This window comes from Homo sapiens, chromosome 6, assembly GCF_000001405.40.
Source record: "Homo sapiens chromosome 6, GRCh38.p14 Primary Assembly".
Classification (NCBI taxonomy): domain Eukaryota; kingdom Metazoa; phylum Chordata; class Mammalia; order Primates; family Hominidae; genus Homo; species Homo sapiens.
The window spans coordinates 70,204,587-70,231,480 of NC_000006.12; the positions used below are offsets into that span (position 1 = coordinate 70,204,587).

General features: G+C 36.4%; 2 protein-coding genes across 17 annotated transcripts in view; one reads left to right on the forward strand and one right to left on the reverse strand.

Moving 5' to 3' along the window:
- COL19A1 (collagen type XIX alpha 1 chain) overlaps positions 1-7,882 on the forward strand; it is a 345,913-nt gene extending 338,031 nt beyond the window's left edge. For all 7 annotated transcript variants that reach the window (NM_001858.6, XM_047418188.1, XM_011535437.3 and 4 more), the window contains 2 exons: positions 2,315-2,392; positions 2,561-7,882. In NM_001858.6, coding sequence (NP_001849.2) covers positions 2,315-2,392; positions 2,561-2,688 — 206 coding nt within the window. In that variant the 3' untranslated portion in view covers positions 2,689-7,882. The remainder of the gene's footprint in view (positions 1-2,314; positions 2,393-2,560) is intronic.
- COL9A1 (collagen type IX alpha 1 chain) overlaps positions 10,475-26,894 on the reverse strand; it is an 88,024-nt gene continuing 71,604 nt past the window's right edge. For 9 of the 10 annotated variants that reach the window (NR_165185.1, XM_011535429.4, XM_017010246.3 and 6 more), the window contains 2 exons: positions 21,346-21,423; positions 10,475-12,495 (listed from right to left, as the gene is read on the reverse strand). Coding sequence is in view for 9 of the 10 variants with exons in the window: in XM_011535429.4 (XP_011533731.1) it covers positions 12,311-12,495; positions 21,346-21,423 (263 nt within the window). In the remaining variant the exon portion in view is untranslated. The remainder of the gene's footprint in view (positions 12,496-21,345; positions 21,424-26,894) is intronic. The other variant, NM_001851.6, reaches the window with a different exon arrangement.

The following is a 26,894-nucleotide window of genomic DNA, read 5'->3' on the forward strand; positions in this document are numbered from 1 at the left end:
CCGAAATGCATGCAGAATAATATATTTCTGCATTATATTGCAAATCTGAGAGCTGAACTTAAATGAAATCGCTAAGTTTTAGCCAATATATTCTTCATTTGGAATTGCGTTACACTCTTGTTAATCCTCTTATTAATCAAAAGTTCATGTATCTTCAGTTATTATTCTTCCTCATATTTTTAGCCTGTAATCTTAAGTACTTACCGAGATAGCTGAGGATCAACTTTATAACTTTTCTGTAATAGTGGGACCTGAGTTAAACTATCAAATATACCTCAGGAAATAAATATTATTTTACTCCAGAAATGTTTAAGTAATGGATTTGGGAGGGTGGTTTCAAATGACCCTAAGTATATACATTTTTTTCCTGCTGTTCACATACGTTAAATGAAAGTCACCTATATCAAAGAAATCCTGGAAACATTTTAAATTTCAATATAGATCAACTATGGTTATTATGTCACATGTCAAAGCCACTGTTCTCTCTAGGGTCTAGGATTGTACTGAATATCTTTAACACAATTTTCAAATATAAATATGTGAAGGTTTCCTGCTGGTGGGTGTATTTCTACTATATACTTCAAAATATTTTTAACATATATTCTTTTTTCCACTAGTTTCACATTTATGATCAGGTCTTACATAAAAAGCAAATAAATACCTGTGTGGTGATTACATTGCCAATGTTGTTCAGATAATAATGTGTACATTGTATGACCTAGTCAAAGTGAAAATGATAACCCCTGCTATCTAAAAACTGCTATCTAATTCTCAACAATAATGGGAAATAATTGATCATACATACTGTTCATAGGGAGCATTACATTTTCTCCTCCTGCCATGTTCTACTGTAACAGCACACCTTTATGAAAAGGCACAACTAAATCACAGCCTACTGTTTCCTACTGAGATGCTCTCCTACTGATATCTTTGCTGTGTGTCCACATGAGTCTGCATGGCTGCTCTGTCCATTTAGGACAAGGAGTGATCTTTAAGGGGCTGTTTAAGTATGAAAAAGTTGGAAATAAAAACTCTATTTGCCATCACTGTGAAACTCTTACAGCATGGAACCTTTTATTCAAACAAAGTATTACATGGGTGCCAATATATAAAATGCAGATAAAAATGCTTTATGCTTTTTATAAGCAGGGATAATGACTTCCAGAGACACAAATTTCTCTGTACTCTTGTAGCTCAGCCAATAGCAAGCATATTAGATAGTAAGAATAATTTTGTTTTAAAATATAGACAGATCTTAGACCTAATTCATTTTGGTTAAAATATCTTAAGTTGATGAAGTACATTTGGGAGACTGTCAGTCTCCTCTCTTGTTTCCTAGCTTTGCTGAAGCTCCTTTGGAGTTATACACTGCCATGTTCAAACATGGGGTGGATGTTTAAACGTTACTTAGAGAAGATATAATGTTTATAGTTGATCATTTGAACACAGACCTGACTTTTTAGATGAGTTAACCCACATATACTCATGCTCTTGCTATCATTTATTAGAATCTTGAATTATTTGTTCCTTTCATTTCCTTTAATTCTTGGAATAAGATCCGTATTCCTATTATATTATCTTGTTCTCATTTTAAGCAAGACTCTTTCCATATACTTCTTTCATTTAGCCTATACCTTGCCTTCAATCAGAATTCCTACTGAAGAGGGCTCACACAGCTTGTCATAGCTATTTGCAAGATTGATTTATTTAGGTGTCATTTTCAGAGCCAAAATCTCGCTATCAAGAGTATAACTAGTTGGGGCTGGGCATGGTGGCTCATGCTTGTAATCCCAGCATTTTGGGATGCCAAGGCGGGCAGATCACCTGAGGTCAGGAGTTCGAGACTAGCCTGGCCAACATGGCAAAACCCTGCCTCCACTAAAAATACAAAAAAAATAGCCAGGAGTGGTGGTTGAGTGCTTGTAATTCCAGCTACTCAGGAGGCTGAGGCAGGAGGATCACTTGAACACAGGAGGTGGAGGTTGCAGTGAGCCAAGATAATAGTGCCACTGCACTCCAGCCTGAGTGACAGAGCAGGACTCTGTCTCAAAAAAAAAAAAAAAAAAAAAGTTTGACTAGTTGGAACTTTTTATAGTAATTGCATGTTTTTTAAGATCCTCATTGCCCTATTATACCCAATCTGTTTGATATGTAAGTTTAATATGTGGTTAATGCAAAACAGTTAGCTAATATACTATTTATTTTAAGCAAATGTATCACATAATTATCACAGACTCAGAAAATGGTTCTTCTCTGTGCTGTGTTGCCATAGAACCCTTTTTGTGTGTCTCTTTTTTATATATTTCTCACTTAGGCTACAGAGGACAGAAGGGAGAAAGAGGTGAACCTGGAATTGGGCTGCCAGGGAGTCCAGGTCTTCCTGGGACTTCAGGTAAGTGGGATATTGTCTTCACAACACAAGCAAGCCTTTACAAATTAGAACCATGCTTCTCCCCTAGGGTCCTTATATGTCAAGTCGAGTGATCCATGTTGGCTAGAGGGTGGGAGAGAGGAAGGGCCATATGTGATCTGCATTGTAATTTTTTTTTTATGTCGTTAGCTCTGGGTTTGCCAGGCTCACCAGGTGCCCCAGGCCCACAGGGCCCCCCAGGACCCAGTGGAAGATGTAACCCAGAAGATTGCCTCTATCCTGTGTCTCATGCCCATCAGCGCACAGGTGGGAATTGAACACACCTGAAGAAGACTTGGTTCCTGGTAACATTTCCTTGCCACTGGAGCTCTCTTAATACCGTCAAACCCTCATCATCTGTGGGTTGCTTTTTTTTTTTTTTTTTTTTTTTGGGAGTAAGCCAGGCATTAAAAGCAACCGTTTGAATCCTATTCCTATAGCAATTGCAAATCAGCATTTTTTGATTTTTCCCAAATTCATTCCATATGTTTTGCTTTACAATTGCTATGATTTTTACTCAGAGTTTTATATGAAATATGCAAGTAAATCTTATCGTTAGTTCTTCTTCAAAAGGAAATTGCATCTTGTGACTTAGTAGACTGATGATGATATCCATTTTGTAGACTCATCAACATGTGGTTGGCCTTTGATTTCTGAATTTTAAAGTTTCAGACTTATCTTTTCCTTGGTGTTTAAATTTACTATCATTGCTAAACATCTCGTCAACTTTTTTGATATAGTGCATTGCTCCTGTTGAATGTTTTTTGACTACTTTTTATAACTTAAGAATTTTTATACCATCTACATCTATCCTACTTATGCAGAAAAATAGGCAATAAGAACTTCATTTTACAATTTATGTTTTCAAAAAAAAAATGCAGGAAACTGTTTTATCAGGGAGCCCAAACACCCAGCATAGCCAACTACTGAAATGATTTTGTTAATTCTGTATAATGAGCTCAATTCAAAGCAATCACCACTGGCATGAATAAGTACTGCATGAAAAGGGAGTATCAAATTCCAGTTTTGTATGAGTTCTGCAAAAAAAGCCTAATATTCTGTGGTCCCCTCACTCAGTCTCTCATTTGGTAAACAGAAAGCTGTTTTCCCTACAAGGTGCTTGGTGGTGAAGCCACCAAGCTGTCTTTGGTACTCTTAAAGCTTCAGTGGCCTAGCAAGATCTTTGGGCCCTTGTATCCATTATCCTTATGACCTCATCACCCTCAGACTTTAAGACAAGAAGCCACCATCAAAACAAAGGATGGGATACGTATAGAATGGACTCACTTGTCCTAGAAGATGAATGTGTAGTGTCAGCAAATGCATGTTAAGAAGGTGAAGCCCAAAAGCTCTTAAGGAGAATTGTATTTCTCCAGAAGCTGCAGCAAGAGGTACAGCTCAACAAAGGAAAACCACAGGACTGGATATGCAACTAGTGCTCAGACCAAAGAGTTCACACCCACTCTAAAACCATGTCCTCTGAAAAGAAACAAAAATACAGTGATCATCAAATGCCTAAACAGTCTTTCTGTTGGTTAGCTGTACATTCATTGAGGAACTGTTGATTGGCAGGCACTGATTCTCTAGAACACTGGGCATGAGGATGTTGCAGAAATCTAGATGGTGGGTCCCACAGATGTGAGAACATGCTGCAAGAGCCTGCCAGCCACAGCAATCAGGACTCACAGCTCTTCAAGGAGCAGTGCAGATTTCAATTTGGCTAAAACAGGATGATTGCTTTTGTCTGTTTACTGAAAAATGAGTTTAGAAAGGCTAGCCCACTGACATTGGAAAAAGCTGTGAACAGAGTTGTGTCTGAGGAATGTGCCTAATTTAAGGCAGGGTTTGTTCCAATGCATCCGTGATTTGAACCGGTTTTCATTATAGATTAATGAACTGCTGGTCAGGTACTGTCTACAATGGCTGTGCATACCTATAACATTTTAGGTATTTCATATTGAATTATGCTGTATATTTCAATTCCAAGTTTATTTATTTTCCAAGGTTATTTTATTTATTGTAAGCATTTTGACATTGATTTTTTTTTTTTCGTTTTCTTTCTTGTGCAATACCTACAATGGTGCTGTGTTTTAAACTTACACAATTGGGACATACGTATGTGTTTTCTTAGTAAAATGGTAATTTATCCCGAAAAAGTGTACATAGATCTAAAATTTGGTGCTATGTGTATATCTTGAGCTTTTAATTTGTTGAATTTTCTAAACGCTTACAACTTATCTGCCACTCATATTAATTTACTTGAATTTGTCATAAAGCTAAATATTTTATATGTTTTCAAAGATTATTTTTTCATATTAATAGGTTGTTTATCTTTTTGCCTGTTTGCTAATTTAAAAATATTTATTTTATCATTTTAATGTTTTCATGGACTTTTTTGCTGATGGTAATCAACTTTTTTTGTTTTTTGGTTTTTGAGTTGTTCTTGTCATAGACATAAAAAGACAATTCATTTTCTTGTTTTATTAACTCTGTTCATTTTTATTCTACAAAATATGTCATGCATTCTTTCTTATGAATTGTATATTTAGAAATCTTTCTAAATACCATTAAGGCTTGACTGGTTAATTCCTATTTCAAGGATTTGGATTTATTCAGGTAATTTGATGGGATGGGGAAATATAATATTGTGTGATGCATATTACAAAGTGGACTTGTCACAATGACACAAACTCATTTTTTGTAACTGGGAAATATGACTAAATTTGACGTAACTAGAGAAACAAGGCTGTATCCACATGGTACAAGCCTTTCTCACCCTACTCTATTATTTACCTTCAGATACTTTTTCCTGCCTCAGCTCTGTACACATGATATGCAACAAAGGGCAGCAAGAAATGCTGGGTCCACCTAATTTAACACAAAATGAAGTTGAGATTCGGCAGTTGCCCAATTCCTTTAATAAAAAGAAACTAAATAATTTGGGCCCCAAAGTAGGGTGGGAAGTTTTCCTCTAAATGACTTGATGGTTGCCAAATCCCTTGCACCATTTTATTCCATTCCAAAACATGTGTTTATTTCCACATAGATGTTAATGATGTTCAAAGCAGGGGAGAAGAATTATTCAATTTCATGAATAACTCTTGTTTGCACTCCAGAAAACAACATACATGTTTAAATACAAAATAATTATGGGCCATGACGACGATTAATATTAAAACTGTGATTTCCATATACAAGTATGTTTGAGTTCCAATCTTACATTTTATACCAAGTTCAAAACACTTTCAGATAGAAGTCTTTCTATGCAAAGATTAAAGTATGACTTCAATTCATATTTATGGCCTTTGGAATCCAAAGAAAAACAGAAGAATAATTCATGGATTTGTTCATTGTTCTTTCCAACTGAAGGCAGTAACCATTACTTCTAACCGTAACACAAACACAGCAAGTTTTAACCTTTTAAACTTTTCACTTTGTGAGCAAAGTAACCCCATAAGTTTATTTCCCTATTTCATGGTATTGTTTAAACTTTAAAATTTTAGTCACTTAAAGAACTTAAGCAATTATATTAAAATACGTTGTCTGTGAAAATTATCATTTGATATTTGGCTTATAAAGTAATTTTTATGAATCTGTTTTATGAGTTAGGTAAGATTTAGCCTTTCTGCAGTCTGTCTCATCTGTTGGGAACCTGTGATATACCTCCATTTGTCCACAAGATGGTGTTTAAAACAATTTGTTCAGAAGAACTGAGCAAACTAACAGAAATACAAGGCTACGAACAGTTTAGTGGACAACTAAATCAGACTCTTGCCTTTGCACTTTTTTTTAACTTTTGTAGATAATTTTTGTTAATTTGTTTTGTTAATTTATGTTTTTCCTAATTTTAAGCATCTTTATGAAACAGGCACAGTACCCTTTGGTTTGTTGACTGTTTTGATTTTATTTCTTTGGTGGATATATATGTACTTATACACTTAGTTAACATGCAGATTAACTAGTCATAACTGTTTATACACCACTCTCATATTTTAGTGATCAATATGAAGACAGCTAAATAATTATCCTACTTTTTAGACAGGACAGATACTCTCAACAGACAAGAAAAAAGATTTAGCTTATCACAAGAAGCAGACAATTTATAAAACTACACAATGTCTAAACTCTATGTTGCTCAGTGTACTTAAAATTTTACAGTTATATTTGTATAACGTTTATATTTTTCTAGAATACATCACTATTTACAAAAGTACAATTAGAAACACTGTTTTTTTTAAGTACCGTTTTTATTTTCATAACACTAATAATACACTGGGATTGAGAATTTCTGTTAAGTGTTTTGCTGACGTTGTTTTAATGAATACTCAAAAAAGCTTTGCAGATTTGTCCATTGCTCTTGTTCTTAAATTATTTTTCATACTTGTCTGTATCCACCTTCTGAAGACACACAAGTGTTTACTGTCGCAGTTTCCCAGCGTTATTTCTTAATACTTGAGTGTTGACACATTTTTGTACCATCCCCCTTTTGTACCATCTCTGCTCACAAAGATTATATGCAGGCTTTGAAGAGGAGGAGATGCAGAAGATAATTGAATTTGTATCTTGTATGCCTATGTAATTCAAAGTGACTTAGTCCATTGAATTGTGTTCATTTATTAGTTGGCTGGTTAAGATAGCATTAATTATCTTAAATTTATTCAACTACTAAAAGTCTCAGGCAATAGGACAGATGAGTGTCATCATTTTTATTGTGTGGCATACTTGGAGCTATAATCCAAACGTTTTACTCAACAAAATAATGCTAGAGTAACTGATCAATTTGGTTAAATTGAATGAAGAACCAAGTGAACACAGAGAAAACTTATTCGGACAAGTAGACCCAGCACAGCAAAAATTTGTCTGAAAGATAAGACAAGCTTATAAGACCAAAGCTAAGTCTAAGAAAATCTAAATGGAAAAAAAATTGCGTGTTCAGATCCAATAGTGAGTGATGTGGTACAACTGGAGGAGTTAGCTACTTGCTTCATGAATTTGTCAAAAGTGAATACTAATAAAGTGGGAGGCTTCACTAAATGAGGGGGTAAATAAGATTTAAGTTTATCAGAAGTGTGTGTATTGTGTGACCATACTAAGCTTCTGGGTGTAAGTAAAGATGCTGGCTATTTTACAACTTTTTATTGTATTGTGTTATGCAAAGTACATTTTGGAGATAAATGTTTTTCAGCACATTAATGTCTTTAAATTCAGGTTGTATTGGGTGTATTTTACAACTATTTATTTTTAAATAACATTTAGGGTGTGTTTTCCCCCATTTTGTTTGTTCTCTATCTTACCTCATCAAACTCTTTACGATTTAATTGAATATACTCATGTTAAGTGCAATGGCATTAGTTTTATTCAAAATCCCACATGGGCATAATGCTTTGAGGCCTTGATTCCTACATGTTCATTATGCATAATGAGCTTGTCACCTATCTCAGCAATAAAGGTTCTGACCCTATGTCAGGGAAATCTAAGGTGCAATTATTAAGGCCATATCTACTCTTCATCACTTGCCATGGCTGAAGCTCCACACTTCAGTCCATTTTGTTTGGTGTCAACCATGGGGATGCTCCAGAAGCACTCTTGGCTAACCATGAGCCCCACAGGTGTCCAAGGAACGTTAATTGGTCTATTGCAGGGTTCATGTTTGTACCATCATTATAGTTTTCTTTGTCACATGAATCATTGCTCAGCTTGAAATAATCAAGTTTGTCACCCATCTCCCTGGCAGTTCATAAAAAGCCTAGTCTAATTATTTCAGATGAGAATTATAAGCAGAATCAAAAGCCCAAAAGCAGGCAGTCCTTTGGGACTTTTGTCCCCCAGAGTGATCATCTCACTAAAATCATTTGAGACTTTTTGCTATAGAGGTCCCTGAGGGAGATAAGAAATAACACAATTAACTTTTCTCATCCATAGAAGCTTTTACACCATGAGTGATAAGGTAATAGGCAATAAGTAGTTAAATACATAGCAGGTTTTCTTAACAGAAATTAATTGCATCAAAACGTGCCAGAGGATTTATATGTTTACCTATACCGGGTAATAACTTACATAGTTCTTAACTATTCCTATCTTCAGGCCCCCTTTGGATAAATTAACTAGGTGCTCTCTAAAGAATGTTGTTGTCTTTTCACACACATATTTTCAACTTAAGAGACAAAATGGAATTTCAAATATATCTCAGAAAGAGAGGTAATTTGTTTGAGACAGTTTCCCTCCCTTGTTCTCTCTCCAGCTATGTTTTGATAACTTGGAGTCAAAAGTAATTTGTGAAGGCATGTTAAGCAGAGAGTTAGCATGAATTGCCATTTATTAAGACTAAAAGTAATTTTCAGTTAGCAGCATCCTCTTCCTGATAGCCAGATCAATCAAATATGTTACACTTCCTCTCGTTGATCATTTAAAGAGCACTTAAGCGTGTGTATTTACAGACAGGCATTACTACAGTCAGCCCATTTTGATTTAATAGTTCTTGAGCCATAGGTACTTTATACTGCCATGTCCTGGATCACAACTCACTAAAGAAGGCTACACAATTGAAAAGTATTTATTTTACTTTGCACAAAAGGGCTTGACCTATGTTTATTGAACACAAGTATTATTTTTAAAAAGATATTTAAAATCATTTATGTTTGTCACCCCTCTATAAACAGCAAGATTGCTAGTTTGCTAGTATTTTTTCCTTAATACTGAGTTTTCACTCCTTTTGCCAGGTTACCAGCAAATATTTTTAAGTAATTTTCTTGATATTTGGAAATCAGAATTTCTATTGGTTTTCCACCTATGTTGGTTTACTTAGTTTATTTTAGAGACAGGGTCTTGTTCTGTCGCCCAGGCTAGAGTGCAGTGGTGTGATCATAGCTCACCATGGCTTCAAACTCCTGGTCTCAAGCAATCCTCCAACCTCAGCTTCCCGAGTAGCTGGGACTACAGGTGCTCACTACCATGCCTGGCTAATTTTTAAATTTGTTTTTATTTTTACAGAGACAGGAGACTCACCGTCTTGCCCAGGCTGGTCTCGAACTCCTGGGCTCAAGCTATCCTCCCACCTTGGCCTTTCAAAGTGTTGGGATTACAGGCGTGAGCCACCATGCCCAGCCTTGGTTTACTTTTAAACTCAGAGACTGTATCTCAGAAACACTATAATCACCAAAAAATTTTAAAAACACAATAGAGGTGATCTTCTACAGCAGGAATTTATATTAAGCTTATTTCAGTTGGCAAATAAATCAGATTTTACTAATGATGTTTAAGAATAGCGATATTGGTTCAGTCAGCTTGAAATGTAAAGTATCCAAATAATCAAATCGATCATCTATCCTGATATGACTACTCATTCATATTCTTCTGCTGTGCAGAAGCCAATTACCCAAAACCATGCCAGGGAATTTATGTGCTCAGTCAGTCTCGGAAGTGATTTCCACAGTTCTTAACCAACCTGTCAGCTATTAGGGTTGAAAATCATATCATACTGCCATAGAAGCACCGGCTAGAAATAAATCAGGAATCATTTGCCCTTAATTAACATGCCAGGTTCAAACCAACTTTATTTATTTACACTCTCCTCTCCCAGTGAGTGCTCTAGTTGCCACTTTATCCAACTTTCAAAAATATCTCAGAGAGGATTTGAGATTTCTATTTTGCTAGAGAGACATGCTTGGTCAGATTCAACATTTACCAACTCTCTTTCATGGAGGGAATTTGCTGGGCTCTTTTCCTTGCAATTTCTAAGCCAAGTGTCTTCTGCTTCTGTAAACTACTTCACTTAACTGAAATTTATAACGAATTCTTCCTGCCATTTGGAATGTGGTAGTTTTGCATAATCTATTTGTAAGTGCTTGTTTCCAATGTTGCTGACTGTATCTGTGGAGCTTGTTGTACAACCTTTACATAACCAGGTTTGTAAAACAGTTGAGTGAACTGTTCTTTGAAATTTTATTTTTTTTAATTTTCTTATGAATATTATAAAACTTAGAAACATGTTTGATTATCTAATTTTTCTTTTATTGTATTTGATTATGTCACTCTAGTTAAAATAAAAGCACTTTGGTGAAAAGATAATTTCTATGCCTTTATTTAATTATGTGTCACAGCTCCTGAAAAAGTTTGCCATTTTTTTAAGGATTGTTTTAGGGAGCTATAACAGAGACCTTTATTTTCAAAAGTCATATTTGAAAAAAGGGAAAGAACATTCTTTCAGTCTATGTAAATAGCACTGATCTATATGGCAAAGTTGGAATCTTCTTAAGCAAAATTCATGCTAGAAGCATAAAACTAGATGCTGTAAGCAGTTTTAAAGAAATCCAAATACAGATTACATAATGATTGATTTAACCAAACAACTAGGACTAGAATTTAAAATGTATAAAAGTACACACGAGAAAAATATATATAAAAAATTATATTAGGGCTCACTCTCCTTTGACTTGACAGAATTTAGTTCCATAAACTAACTAAAGATACTATGTTGAGCTATTGTTTTATGCCCCAGCACAGGTTACTCACAGGCTCTGTGATATAAAATGAATATATTAAGTCTGTTGGATAGTTAAGTAGATGTTAATGAAACAGCAAGCCAATATGATTACACAGATAATAATAAAGTGCTTAAGTGGTCAGGAAATACTTGTTAAGAATACAGTGCTTTAGCTGAGCTGCATTTATAAAATTTACAAGAAATGGTGAAACATAAATCATGTTTACAATAAAGTTCTGAGTAGGAGGGAGCTAACAAGCCATTGGAATGAAGGCAGTGGTTCTTAACCTAGAAATAAAGCAAGGCTAGACTTAAAAAAGTCCACGAAATCTCTGAAATACTATACAAAAATATAGATGCGCATGCAGCTGCACATCTTTCTAGGGAATTAACATTTCGAAAAGGTCCATGAAGCTCTCTCCATACACACTAAAACACACACACACACACACACACACACATACGCATCTGTCACAGGGTAACACCCTCTGTGGAACAGCTTTTTAAATTACTTTATGTAGAAAAAACACTAATATTATAAACATACACCTATAGAACCAGTAGTTAAGTAATGTTTAATGTATCTAAATAAGCTCAGTAACTTCTTTTCATTGAACATGATTATTTATAAGAAAACATGCAAGAGATTAAGAAACCATATTTATTTCTTCTTTGGTACAACCAGAGATGTTACCTCAAACCTTTAAAATAAATAATCTCATCAATAAAATTTATGAATGCCAGAGTATTAAAATTATTTCTTTGCTTTCACATAGAAGCGCTCAAAATATTAACAGGTTTGGGGTAAAGTACATACAGTTCAACAAAAGTTCAAGGTGAAGAAGGAAACCAATACATGACGTAAAGAAATCATTTCGGGAGATGTAGCCCTTTCTTATCACTCCAGAGACAGCACATCGATGAGATTTTAAGCACCAATTCCATTGAATGTAGTGGGGTTTCTTCATAACTAGTCTAGTAATCCTCTATATAACTGAAACAATAATCTGAGAACAACTTCTAAATGAAAATAACTACTGCAACTGAGGTAAACCAAACAGTTGTTTTTGTTTATTGGCACAGTGGCCCACGATAAGACACATAGGTATAGCACACTAAAGCTCAAGATCCTGGGAACAGGAGTATAAATTTATTCAAGGGAGGTGTTTGGTTTTCTTTTTTTTTTTTTAACTGATGACTCTGCTGTCTTCCCTCCAAGGGAAAGGAAAGAGAACTTACTGAATAGCACCGTTCTTCTATATGTGATTGTCAAGTAGGACTTCTGTAATCATACTGAAGGTAATACATTGTAATCATGCTGAAGGTAATCATCTTTGCCCCAGCTTTGGATGGTGTTTCTCACCCAGGCTCCTTCACCAGGCGTGGTTCATGCAGACAGCCATGCAGCAGTAAGCCTTTCAAGGGTCAGGCCCTTTGTTAAATGCTCGCTGACCAGCCTGCATGGTGCAGGAGGCTGGCTCACAGAAACCGGGAAGCCCAGGAGGTCCCGGGGGTCCAGGCACTCCAGGAATTCCTGCCACCCCTGGGGGGCCTCGCTCACCGTCTCGGCCATTTCTGCCATAGCTGGCAGGGCCTGGGTCACCTGAAACACACAGAAGATTGCACATGTGAACAGGAGAATCCTCATTGATGCAAACTGGCAGAGGGCATGGCTCAGCAGCGCTCAGATAAGGGGTTTAACAAACGCTTTTGGAAGCGATGGATGATGACTGGTGATGATTGGTGATGATGATGATGATGATGATAATAAGATCCCTTCCTTGGACTTGGGTTTTCATGGAAATTAAAAGCAGAAAGAGACCTCAGTGTCTCTAACCCCCATTTCCATCAGTAGAGCTGCACCGTGCACCATGGTAGCCTCCAGCCACAGGTGCCTATTGAGAGCTGAAATGTGATGAGGCCAAATGGAGATGAACTAAGGATCAAACACACCTGGATTTTAAAGACTTGATATGAAAAAATGTAAAATAGTTCATTAATAATTTTTGTGTCTATTACATGATGAAATGATCTTTTGCACACAGTGGGTTAAGTAAACTATATTATTAAAATTAATGTCACTTGATTATTTTTACCTTTTTCATGTGGCTACTTGATTTAAAATCATACATGCAACTCACATTTGTGGCTCACATTATATTTCTTTTGAATGCAAGTAGCAGTATTCCTTACTTCTAAGAGTTGAGCAACATCCGGGCAGGGAGAAGTATAGTTTAGCGGTTAAAAACACAGGTTTTGGAGACAAATAGCTTTACATTCTAGCCCTATCATTTATGAAAAATGTGACATTAGCAAGTCACTAATCTCTCAGTTTCTTCATCTACAAGATGGGATAATGTCTTCCTAATAATTAAATTCAGGCCAGGTGCAGTGGCTCATGCCTGTAATCCCAGCACTTTGGGAAGCCAAGGTGGGCAGATCACCTGAGGTCAGGAGTTTGAGATCAGCCTGGCCAAAATGGTGAAACCTCATTTCTACTAAAAATACAAAAAAATTAGCCAGGTATGGTGGTGTATGCCTGTAGTCCTAGCTACTCAGGAGGCTGAGGCAGGAGAATTACTTGCACCCGGGAGGCAGAGGTTGCAGTGAGCCGAGATCGCGCCACTGCACTCCAGCCTGGGCGATAGAACAAGACTTCGTCTTAAAAATAATAATAATAATAATTCTACAATTGGAAGCACCTGATAAATAGGGGCTATTATTACAATTATTAAGATATTATTGATTAATGTCTTTTAGAAGGCTGTGCCATGTGCCCTACAAATTTTCATATTTTTCTCATGAAGGGCTGACCCCAACATGAACTTTGCAATAGCAGGTTCTCTGGGGGACATTTCTTGCTTGTCTTCCTTTTGTCGTGTTTAAGGGTTGTATGTTGCCCTCAATGGGGCACACTCTCTGAGGCACAGCACCCCATAACAAAGAGGAATTTCTGCTGAATGTTTACCCCAGTGCACTAGCAGCACTTTCACACAATTATTGCAAAAGTGGTGATGAGAAGTCAGTGTAAAACAAATTGTGTATGCCAAAATAATATAGGGATCCTCATTCCATCTCAGCCATCTTAACCTGGTCTTTCAGCCAAAAAGCCGGAAGCCAAATCTACATGTTCAACTACATATTTGCTTATATTTGGTTACTCTCCTTCTTTCTCTGTGGTTTTTACTTTTCTTTTTCTATTTCAGTTGTCTTTTTATATGTCTTTTGTTGGTCTTACTGTAGTAATATGGTCTTATTCATATATATCTCACATATTTTTAGAAGGAAGGTAGGTTAGAGATCCTGCTTTACATAACATCTCATTCTTCCTCTGGTGCATACACTTCGATCCACACAAAGCAATGTCATAGGGCAATATATTAATAAGTTTTAAGGGAGAATAATTATCTTTGAATTTATCCATCTCAAAGCTATAGATAAGCAGAGATATAAGTAATTTTCCCTAATTTATCCCATATACTTTCATTCAACTATACCTAGTAAGTATGAAGCAGATCATTATGTGTTTTCTTTTAATGATGAGGTCCCTGAGAAAGCTTCTCCCTAATCCACAGCATCTATAGATAAAGCTGTAGCAGAACTATGCCCTTAGCAGCACCTGTTAAGATCCTTAACACCAGATGCAGTTAAAGGTGAAGTTGATTTTTTTAAGGTTTAAAAGATGAGCCAGATCTAAATCCGATTTTCATGCACCTTATCACTAGGAATGTTCCCACTGAGACATACCAGGTGTGCCTTAAAATCAAATCAAGTTTAGGAGAAGGAAATGCCCAAAGAAGAGGTAGAAAACCAAATGAGCACAGGGGCTGGGATGGTCATTGAGATCAGGGGTGGGCAAACTTCAGCTCATGAGCTAAATCTTGTTTTTGTAGTTTTATTAGAACACGACCATGGTCATTTGTTTACATATTGTCTGTGGCTGCTTTGGCGTACCAGGGCAGAGTTAAATAGCTGCAATATGGTGCCCATAGCCAAATAATCTGATCCTTCACAAATAAAGTTTGCTGATCCCTGATGTTATAAAGAAACAAGCCTGGATTAAGAAATTCCCCCACTGTTTTTACCAGATGAAAACGTAAAGTACAAATGCAATGAAATTTGGCCACTAATATTCCACGTAAGTGTTGGGGAGACCAAAGGGAGGAGTGAGGCCTGTGGTGAGCTGGAAAGTGGATGCGGGCAGCAGCTCTTCTCCAGCTAACAGCTGTCATCGGGGAATACAGGCCAGTGTTGCCAGAACTTCTGATAATTTTCAAGAGAGGCCAGGAAGCTGAGTCTTTAAATAAATATCTCCCAATGTTTAAATGTTAGCAACTAATTCAAATTTTTTTCAACATTTGTAGAGCCAGCCAAAAACCTTAAGTTTTAAGTAATTTATTCTCTAATACACTAACAATATTAAAAAGCAGAAGGATAGCTTTTTAGATTTTCACATTTGGTTCCCCATCAACACACTTCAGGAGAAGTTTTTCTTTTTCTTTTTTACCTTGCTGAGTTTATTCCAAATTGCTGCTTATCCTCTGAAGGAAGAGTCGATGAAGCCATCCTGTCTACCCTTGATTTATTTTATGAAGCATGCATCTCATCCAGTTCTGCCTTTGGCAAATGCAGCAATTTACCCTTTGGAGCTTTTGATGATGTCATCATCATCATCATCATCATCATCATCACCACAAATGCTTAATGAGAATGCTTTCTCTTTTCCATGGGCATACACTATGCTCATTATTGAGCCCATTTTTCTCATGCATAAACTGAGAGTTAGGAAGGTCAAATAATTGTCCATAGTCATATAGCCAGAAATGAGGACCCTTAACCACTGCACTAACTGTATTTTCCTACCTATTGATTTTTTTAACTCTGTGGAAGGGTGTGGAGGGGTGTGGCAGGGTGTGTGTGTGTGTGTGTGTGTGTGTGTGGTCATTTTTTTTAATTCCTTGGGCCTGAGTTGACCAGGAAGTAGACAGAGGTACAAAAACAAAGCACAGTATTGACTTTTGCAGAGCTCTAATGATCATAAGAAACTAAGATATTTCTCTGAGGTTTTGCCCTGTAGAAATACCAGAGAAAAAAAAACAGCCTTAACATAGCAGATTGTCAGGCTCTGGAAAGCCCTGACCCAGGGCCTTTGCTCTCATGTATGTTCTAAACTATGTGGGAGCCTCAGTTGGGTGACACTATGTCCACAGTCCACATCACTCAAAAAGTGAAGCTGACTCATAATAACGGTTCACAAAATGGGCATAAATGGTTAGCCCAGCAGCTACATTCATGAATATCTATCAACTGCTTTGTAACTCTTCAGAAAGAGAAAACATGCATCTAAAGTGTTATTCTGCTCTGCCTGCCTCATGTGTGTATTACTTACACTAACTGCCTAATGATTACATGGTTTTCTGAAATGTCAAGGACCTATAAATATGTTGAATATTCCCAATACAAAGAAATGATAAATGTTTGAGATGATGGATATACTAATTACCCTAATCTGGTCATTATGTAATATTTCTATTGAAACATTACTACATATCCCATAAATATGTATAACTATTATATGTCAATTAAAATAAAATAAAATATTTAAAATTATTGCTAAACGTTTTTTTTTTAAACAAATGAATAGCTATGTCATTCTCTATAAAACCACTAGAGGGTAGTCATGTTACACTGATGGAAGCCCATCTCGGCTGGATCATTCTGGAGGCAGCCCCTCACCTAATACATGCTGTGGCGTAAAAGGGACTGTGTATACAGTCAAAACAAAAAAAGTGAATAATTTTCACATTAAATAGGGTATTTCATAATTAATCCACTGGTTATGTAGACTTTTTGTATGTACCAGGAGTTTCTTATATTTCTTGAGCTTAATGTTGTGGTATTTGACAAAGCAGTATATGTTTAAGGAATTATAAACTGGTTTATGTAAGGCCCAGCAACCAAATAAAACAGCTGCAGCAATGGAAATGGAAAAATTAGGTACTGAAAAACTTAGCCCAGAACTGAATGTGTGCGTGTGTATTTTTCCACTCAATAGTCTCAAGCAAAGCTCACCTTTCTGTGGACTTTGCACAAGAAAACCAAATACTCTTATAACCTAGCATAGTCCAGCACAAAGCCAGCTACAACTTCCATGTCCAAGAGGCAAAAAGCACCTTAGCTCACAAGTCACCTTCCTAGTGTTCACATTCAAATGATTTGTCATTTAATTTATGTTTTGCCCTAGTGAGTGCACAAAGAGGAAGTCAGGACTCTTTATTATTAATAAATATGTTCCTTTAAAATTCTCAGAGTGACGAGGAACTAGTCCCAATGGGCAAGTTTGGTGGCAGCAGAGAGAGTCTTTGAGACAACCGACCAAGCAATAACACTAGCTGACCTGTGGCACAAAACTGAAGGCGGGGGAGACTAAAGTTCCAGGGATTGCTAATGTGATCCACGTAGCTCTGCAAGAGAGGCAGAGAAAGAAGCGAGACACTCAGCAATTATGGGACATGCTCAATTCACATGTCTAGGTTGCAAAGAAAAACTAATCGTATGATTAGACAGCCAGCCAATCATTCTGTCCACTTTGGGAACATAGACTCAGGAAGCATGAATATCTGTCTTGTTATTACCTGACAGACTTTTGTCAGGACATGAATTTAAGAGTCTGTATTTTCTCAAATATATTATAAAAAAAGGGAGCAACAATAATAACAGTTAAATTTCACTAAATAATGTCAGAGTGTCTGTTTGCCATATGCCAGGCACTGTTCCAAGAGCTTTACATGTATTAACATGTGCATATATGCTCTAAATACAAGGTAGGCATAGTGATTCCCATTCACTGAAGAGGAAACTGAAGCACTTCAAGGTAAAAGAATAGTGCATAAGCCCTGGCAGCCTGGCTCCATGTCTGCACTTCTTAAATATTCACCCAGCCTACTCCTGGCTGTGAGAAACAAACTAGATTGTGCATGTGTACTTTTTAAACAACAAAGCACTGTAGCCAAAATGATCATCAATGTAAAGGTTATAATAATAACCTGTGTTCCATAACAAGCAATGAGCATTATGTCCCTGCAGGGCATGTAATACTTAACACTGAACAAACAGAGATACAGCATTGGAGAGGGGAGACAGGGAACTAAAACTGTCCAGAAAGAATACAGGAACTCTAACAACCGATAGAAAATGATGATATTAGTTACATCGTTAAAAATATGTTAAATGCCTTAGCACAAAGAATGATCCAACTATCTTTTTTTTTTTTATTCAGGAGGATTTGAGCCCCAAATCCAACAACAGGAACAACAAAGAAGGTTGCAGACTATGCTGTTCTGCAGTTTCTTTATTTTAGGTAAGAAAAGAATTTTTTTATCTAGACGGTTCCAGACAAATTACTGCACAGAATCCTTTTGAAGTTTCATCAGGCCTTAAAGTCCTATTAATATTATGTTTTTGAGAGATCAGAAATCACATTCCTAGTCACATTCAAGCTCTACCAAGAAATAAAAAGCAGTATAGCCTCAGTGGACAATTAACCAGTGAAAAGATGTACTGCTACCCAGTACTTCGCATTTGTGATTTGGAGTTGAAGTAGACTTTCATGGAGGGAAGGTCTGGGCATCAGGGGCGGTGCTGATTTAGAGAAGAGTAATATATTACTGCTGATCAACGGCAAGAGAAAAAAGCTGCAGGGGCTGAACTGGGGCCCAACTTTGCCCTCAGCTTTCCTTGATCCACCTTAAAAAGCAAAAAGTGGACTTGATATATTAATAATAGTATGAACAACCAACATTTCTTGAGCGCCTACTATAGCCAGGAACTGTCTTAAGCAATTTACATGGATTGAGTTTCTTTATTTCTCAGAATTACCCTATCAGAGAGATGTTCTTGTTATCACTGTTTTATAAATGGGAAAACTGAGGTGTAGAGAAATTAAGTAAAATGCCCAATATCATAAAGTTAGTTAGTGGCATAGTCAAAACGTGAACCTAGGATGTCTGAATTGTAGATGCCACTCTTCAAACAGCCCACTTCCAGGTACTAGCTTTAAGGGAGGAATGACCCAAAAAGCTCATGTCAGGAACTTGACTGACTTGAGCATATGCACGGTGTCAACAAGAGAATGTGGGCCGACCTCGAAACCCAAGCCCTCAGCTGGTGCTTTCACCTGCGCACTACACGAGGACACCGCGCCAAAGCGCAGAAAACGATCCACCAGCAGACCCCTCTTCTCTGGCATCTGTGCTTTTGAAAGTTAGCCTATATTCCTGAAAAATAATCTGGAACTCAGATTTGTCACTAAATAATGTCAGATATCGTCTCAATTAAAAGGTAACAAAAGTCCAAAAAAGGAAGGTTACCGAGGTTGAGACATAGAAACCAGGACAAGGAAATCAAGAAAGAAGAGTCAGCTGGGAGGTGAGAAGGATGGGAGATAATCAGAGCTGATGGGGAGAGCAAAGTGAGAGGAGGGGAGAGATCAGAGGAGGGCAACGATTTTGGAGGTGATCCCAGGAAAGCAGGGGCAAGGACTGGCCAAAGGAAGAAAGGAAAAGGAAAACAGAAAGGACAGGTATTAGGAGTCCCCTGGATCAGGGGGTCCACAAAATGTTTCAACAATTCAGATTTAAGATTAAATCCAAGATCAGCTAAAATTAATAATTTTGTTTGTAAGCGATCCTAGGGAGGGCTGCAAATGATGATCTTGTCCTGCCTCACAATTTACTTACACGTGGATGGTCTGATGTTCTAAAAAGCAAGTCGGGGAAGCCCCTCTGACTGACTGTGTGCCCCGTTTGCGCCCCCCATCAACTTGGCTCCTGAAAATGGTTTACTGCAGGTGGGAGATAATGTGCTTCTGACAGTCTGGGACACAGCACACATGGAGCTGATCTTCTCAATCTTCTCATCTTTACATTTAAATTGTGGCTTACCAACAGATTATTTTCAAAGTGAGAATCCCTATAAACCATAATACATTTTCAATAAAGGAAAATGTTGCCAATAGTGCAAGTCATTGGTTCAAGAACTGTTAAGCGATTTGTCAATAAAATGAGAGAAGAAGGAGTTATTAGGCTTTCTCATAAATATATAGATAATTAAGTAAATTGTGATGATGGTATGTTGTCAGCCTCAAAACTTCCTATTCCTACTACTGGTGATGGAGACAGGCACCTTTAGTAAATTCTATTTCCTTTTCCTCTCCTCTACACACCCATCAATGAATCCAAGCTTTACCGTATATTAAAATCTTCTCTAAATCCCATTTAAGCCAGATTTTCCTTTCATTACTAATCATAAATCTTCCATTTCCAATTATAAAAATTTATCAATATGTGAAAACATTTTGATGAGCCCATGAATCAGTTTTAGAAAGGCAGTGTTTGAGTTATCTCCAAACATTCATGTTTTTTTAAAAAATTTTTTAATGAGAACACAATCCCCAGAAGCAATGAAATGGATAATTGGAAAGCAATGATGTTTTTGGCTACAATTATAGCTGTGATTAAATACATCAGCCTCTGGCAGAATTAGAAAATTGTAATTTCTTTTCCTAAACTTCCCTAAGCCAAGTTTTCCCAAACCATTGTGGAAGCAAGTATCATCTCAACTCTCCTCAGCAACAGACCCCTAGGGCTTTGGGAGCCTTCCTAAGCCACTGCCTCCCCACAATAAGAGAGCGTTTGCTGGAAAGTTGCGCATCATTCATGCCCTTAAACTGAACTGGCTTTTGGCCCTGCTATGTTGCCTCTGTGCTTGGGCTTGTAAGTCATTTCCTAAGGGATAAGTGTGTTCCAGCCTGGACTCTGGTGACAGGGTAGCCAGTGTATAAAGAGAACAGAAGGCCCAGTGAGAGAATCTGGGCCCTTCACACAAGGGCTACCCTGTCACCTCAGTTGACACAGCTGTGATGTGTGGCTCTTAGTGATTATGAGCAGGAATGTTCAGTTTTGTATTTTCTTTCTTTCTTTCTTTTTGGATGTGGGGTTTTGGAGGGTCTGGGTGTTTGAAAGGGGAGCTTTAAAAATAAAATTTCAGTTACTCCTTGTGCAAGAGATTAAAAACAGGCTAATCTTCCTACTGCTCTGGCATTTTAGATTAAAAAAAAAAACAGGAAACTATCACCTGCTTTAGAAATAGATAGGATCCAATTTATTCAGAATTTTATAACAAGTGCATTGTGCCTGGACCTTGACACTATTTTTCTTGAAGCATCTATTTAAGGAAATTAGTATTTCAAGTCCTGATACCTATTTTCTGATTTGATTTACAGATCATTTAATTCTTTACTAAAGCTGGTCTTGAAAAATCTATGCTAGCCATTCTGAATAATTAATATGCTTAAGTGATCAAATAACAATTATTTTAAAATTTTATTCAATTCAGGCTGTGTACTTGCTACCAATTTCGCTACCTCCTCCTCTCAGCTATACAACACACTTACCTGGGAGACCTATAGCTCCAGGCAAACCGTTGGGACCTCTTCCTGGAGGGCCACGCTCCCCCTTTTCTCCCAAGTCACCTGCATTACATTAAAGAAATGTTATTTTTCTACATATCTATAAAAATAAACTTCCGCATCTTTAAACTTTCAGCAAATCTAAAATTCAGAAACCAAAAGGTCATGAAATTGCCATAAACTAGATTGTAGTGAGTATGTAGCAAGGCAAAAATCAAGTTCATCTATTAATAGATCTAAGGGGGGAAAATCAAATTATTATATTCATAGATACTGGAATGACATTTGACAAAATTGAACATGCATTCTTGATAAAACATTCAATAAAATAAGAACCAATGGCCACTTCCTAAACACGAAAAATATATCTATCTCAACCCAAAAGCTAGCATTATGCTTAATGGGAAACACAAGAATTAGTTCCACTACAATCAGAACAATATAAAGACGCCTACTTTATCACTAATATATAACTTTTGGTTTGAGTAGTTAAAACTATCTCTATTTTCAGGAGATATGAATATATATCTTAAAACTCTAGAAAGTTAACTCAAAAACTATTACAAACAGTGGCATTCAGTCAACTAGCAGGGTACAAAATTAATATATGGAAATTAAAATTTTATATATATTAACACAACCAGTAATAAGACATAGTAAAAAAGATACCATTTATAATAACAATTAAAATATTAAATAACGAGGAATAAAACTAATCAGAAATAGGCAAGTCCAACATGACAAAAAGTTTAACATTTCTAAAGGACACCAGAAGACTTGAAAATCATTCTTAAATAGAAATGATATCATCATAAAATATTGCCAGTTCTCCCCAAGCTGAATTTTCATCATGATCTTAATAAAAATACAAACCCATTTTTTATCAGAAAAGAAGATCCTGAAGTTTGTATAGAAAAACACATAAGCCAGAGTAAGCCACAAAAACTCCATAAAGAAAAGCAACATGAAGGGAATTAAGTTGACCAGATATTAAATCAACTAAAATGTGTGGTGTTGCTCCCTGAATACTCAGACCAGTGAAACAGAATAGAAAGCCCAAAAAGTAGGCCCAAATACATACAGGATTTGGGTTTATAATGAAGGTGGTGTCTTAAAGTGGGAAAAAGTTGAACAATTCAGTAAATGGTATTGGAAGAAGTGGGTAGTCAACTGGAAAAGAAAAGTTAGATCTATACCTCACACCCTATTCCAGGATAAAATACAAATGGATCAAGTATTTTACTGTAAGTTAAGAATCAAAAGAAAACAAGGGAGAATTATGACCTCAGATTGGCCTTTTTATTAAGATTCAAAATATGAAGGGTTCCTAAAATCAATACAAAAAGGCCAACAACACAACAGCAAAAAAATGACCAAAATACATGAGCAGGCAGGCCACTAAAAGGAAGTAAAAATGGCTCTTAAATATATGAAAAATTCCCTGACTTCACTCTCATAACAAAATAAATGCAAATTGTAAAAAAAAAAAAAAAAAAAAAAAAGGATGCTATTTTAACCTATAAGATCGGCAAAAATTCCAAAGTTCAATTAAAGATATACTAGCAAGTCTGTGGAATATGCACTATTATGAATTGCTGATAAGAGTATAAATTTGTACAATCCCATTGGAGGCTAATTTGACAATAGCTATCAAAATTTTTACCCAGCAGTTCTACTTCTAGGAATTTATCATAGAGATAAAGATGGAGTGTATGCTGCTTTTTAATACAAAAATGAAATATGTACAATGTTGTTCACTGCAGCCTTGCCATAATAGCAGAAGGTTGGAAACAATCTATGTCCATTAAAAGGTTAAAGACATTACAGAATTTCCACAGAATAGAACACTATGCAGCTGTGAAGAATAGCCAGGAAGCTCTTTGGAATGGTCTCCATGGCATACTGCTCAGTGAAAAAGGCAAGTTCCAGAACACTTGCTAAAGGACAATATGATTCATTTTTAAAAGGATGTAGAAAAAATACATATTCATGTATCCTTATATAGAATTGCTTGTAAGGATATGTAAGAAAAGAATAGTATTGATTACCTAGTGGGAAGGAGAAAGGAAATTAGGCAGATGGGAGACAGGGATAGGAGAGAAACTTCACTAAATATCTTTTTTATACATTGTTAATTTTTGGAACTGTATAAATTTAGTATTATGAAATATAAATTAATCAATCTTAAAAACATAAAGTGTGTTGTTACAGTGTCTACATTTCACTACTGACTCATTGTTTATAGGGAACATACTTTGGATTGCAACCAACCATGTGGATTTGCAAGACATTTACAAGACAGTTGATTGAAATTGGGGATTTAGCAGCCACAGAACAAAGTTGCATTAATTATCCCAGCCCCTGAAGATACCAAACCCAGCAACTTGACCTCATTAACAAAAGGCATTAATTCCTTAGTTAACTGGTCCTAAATGATGTCTGCTGCTCTTTGTTGAAGGCATTATCCCATTATTCCGGTAGTACAGTAGTATATCATTATTCTACTATGCTGTTAGAAAATGCAATGGCACCTTGCAATAAATTCTATACATACCATTTTTTTTCCAAACATTTGTTTCAGCTTAGCCTCATTCAATATTAAGTCATATTTGTTATAATTTTAAAAACAAAGTCATGTACACAACAAAAACAGAAAAAATATCTGTATAACCATCTGCACTCAGATAGTCAAAGATCTCTAATTCTGAAGTGAATATTTAGTCACCATACTTTGATTTTAGTTGTGAATGTCTTCATGTGAATGTTTTTATGATAAACTACATTTCATCACATTTCAAAACAATTTAAATTTATATAAATACTATGACGGATTGAACTCAGGTTGAACTCATATTTACATAAGCTAGTTTTTTTAACATTCATCATCAATATGGCCTTACTATATTAGGAAGATACGACAATTAACATCTTATAAACTAATGGCATAAGCATTCTTGTTAACTTGGTAATTTAAGTGTCATATCACTATAATTCTGGAGGCTGGCAATGAGAACAGACTGTCTAAATGTGCCACATTTCTGAAGATATGAGATGAAGATTATAAATTAAAGTGTGGCTTTTACACTGATAGTAAAAGCTAAACTTGTTTGTACATTCTAGCATGAAGCCACACCAACTTTTAATGTTGCTTCGAGGACTAAGACCAGTGTCTTTGTTGTGATACTGTCTTTTGGTTATCAGTCAGAGAAAAACAAGTTTTAAGATGAGCTCCAAAACAGAGCCTATTCTGCAAACTGCTACTCCACAGCAAACCATGTATACAGGTTGGTTCTATCGACAAGGTTAATCTATTACTTCAAACCCTGATCATGTCTTATTTTGAGATGTACAAAAACCAGCTTAGGGAACTAAAGGTCCAGCTTTGTTAGCCTCCTCAGTCAAAAAATATGCATAAAGAGCTTGTAAAATAAGCTTTAGGTAAGGTATAAAGAAAAATACACAGCTTCAGCAGAAAAACAGCTCATTATGAACGAGTGGAAATTCTCATTGCTCTATAGTTGCTATTTATTTCATTTATTCATGAGCTATAATTGATGCTCTATCTCCATGTAAACAGATTATCACTGAGAAAGGTGTTAGTCATAATTATGACATGTGTGTTTTCTCAAACCTTCATTTACATATTGCAGTGTCTGTTTGATTCACACTAAAATATCTAAAAATATACAGCCTTACTCAAAGGGACTTAAAATTAATCCAAACTGTGAATATTTAAAACTAATATTTATGACACAAAAGACCAATGTAATACCAAGCAAAGTGAATATAAGGCCAGTTAGATATCTCTCAGGTTTTAAGCCTGGGCCCTAACATTTTGTATAATATTGTGTAAAGCATGTCAGTGAAAAACAGAAAAATTATAGATATAACCTAAGCTTTGACTATGATTTGAGGCATATTTCTACTAGTTCCTATTGAAAATGTTCTACTGTGTTCTTCAGAGTATTTTCTAGGAGAAAAACAGTGACTAAGACATAGGCTGAACTGTTCAAGCATTCATAATAAAACTTGTTTGTTATTTATGCAGCAGTTTCTCTGGAAAAAGGCTCTCAAAGTGACCATATGGTAGAGCAAGATTCATACCATCCCTTCTTTACCAGGGATGGGGAAAAAAGCCAGCAAGCAATACTGAAATATATCTCTCCTCTAATTGACTGAAAATTTAAGTTTCAAATTGGTGGAATGTTTATGCTCAGGGAAATTTCAGCTGTAACCCCTTGGATATTACAAAGCTATATGTTTTCTAATAAATACTCCTGTTAATGTATGTGGTGGGACAAGAAGAATCAAATCCAGCTACCTAAAATCATACATTTCCAAAAGTATGACAGTGTTAATTGATTTTAAAAATTTAATTACCGCTCCCTACCTCCACCCCAAATTCTCAGAAGTTAAACTAAGAGAAGATACAGCTTTAAAGGAATCTGATAACGAGAAAGGGATGGAGGAGGGTAGGGAGAAAAAAAATCCTTTGGAAAAGGGAAAAGAATTGTATCACTTCATGTTATAGATTATGTCATGAATACTGAAGAAAAATTAAGAGGAAATACCTCACATGATCAAGCTATACTTGACAAACGAACTTAGTGCTAGAGCCATTTCCCAGGTTCCAAATATAGAAATTTACTTTTGTTTCTTTCAAACTGAGGTTCATCTGCTAGAGCCAACCCAACCCAGCCTAGCCACAATTCACTGTTGCTAAAGCTTCCCCAAACTATTCACCATTGTTTCCAGTGGTTCTCAACCCTGGCTGCACATTAAAATCACCTGGAGAATATTTTAAAATCCCAATGCCCAAGCCAATAAAATCAGAATCTCTGAGAATGGGATCCAGATATCAGTGGTTTTAAGCTCCTCAGGCAATTCCAGTGTGCAGGCAAGGCTGACAAAGGCAGCTTTAGACTGTCCTAGCTTAGCTTTCATTTTTTAAAGAAGAGTTCTGTTACTAGCTCAAACAAAGTTAAGCTCTGCCCCAAGGAGACTTCCTGTTAACCAAAGAAAATAGGGCTGTGATGTCTATAGGCCCTATAAGTCATTCCCTTTCAGTAGGAAAATGGGCGATTGCTCCACACCAGGTGCAGCAGAACCACCAGGAGGGCCTGTTAAACTAGACAGCTAGACCTCGACCCCAGAGTTTCTGATTCAGTGGACTCAGTGTGGACCAGCGAATTTGCATTCCTAACAAGGTCCCTGGTGACTCCGCTGCTCCGGGGACTGCTCTCTCAGAACCACTCCCTAAAGTGAACTCAGAAAAGGCCAGGTCGTCATGATCCACCCGCTTTTGCACAACAGATCCAATGAAGTCAACAATCTACCTAAGGCTGTAGAGTTTCTTAGAAATTATTTACAGAGTGAATTGAGACTAACCATAGAGAGAGCACCTAAGGCATGAGCTCCTGAACTAGTAAAGCTGGACAAAGATGAATAGGTATGTGACTCTTTCAAAGAAAATGTTCAGTTCTCTTTAAGAAAAACTCTACCCTCAGTCTGTACTCTATTTGATTTTGTCTAGC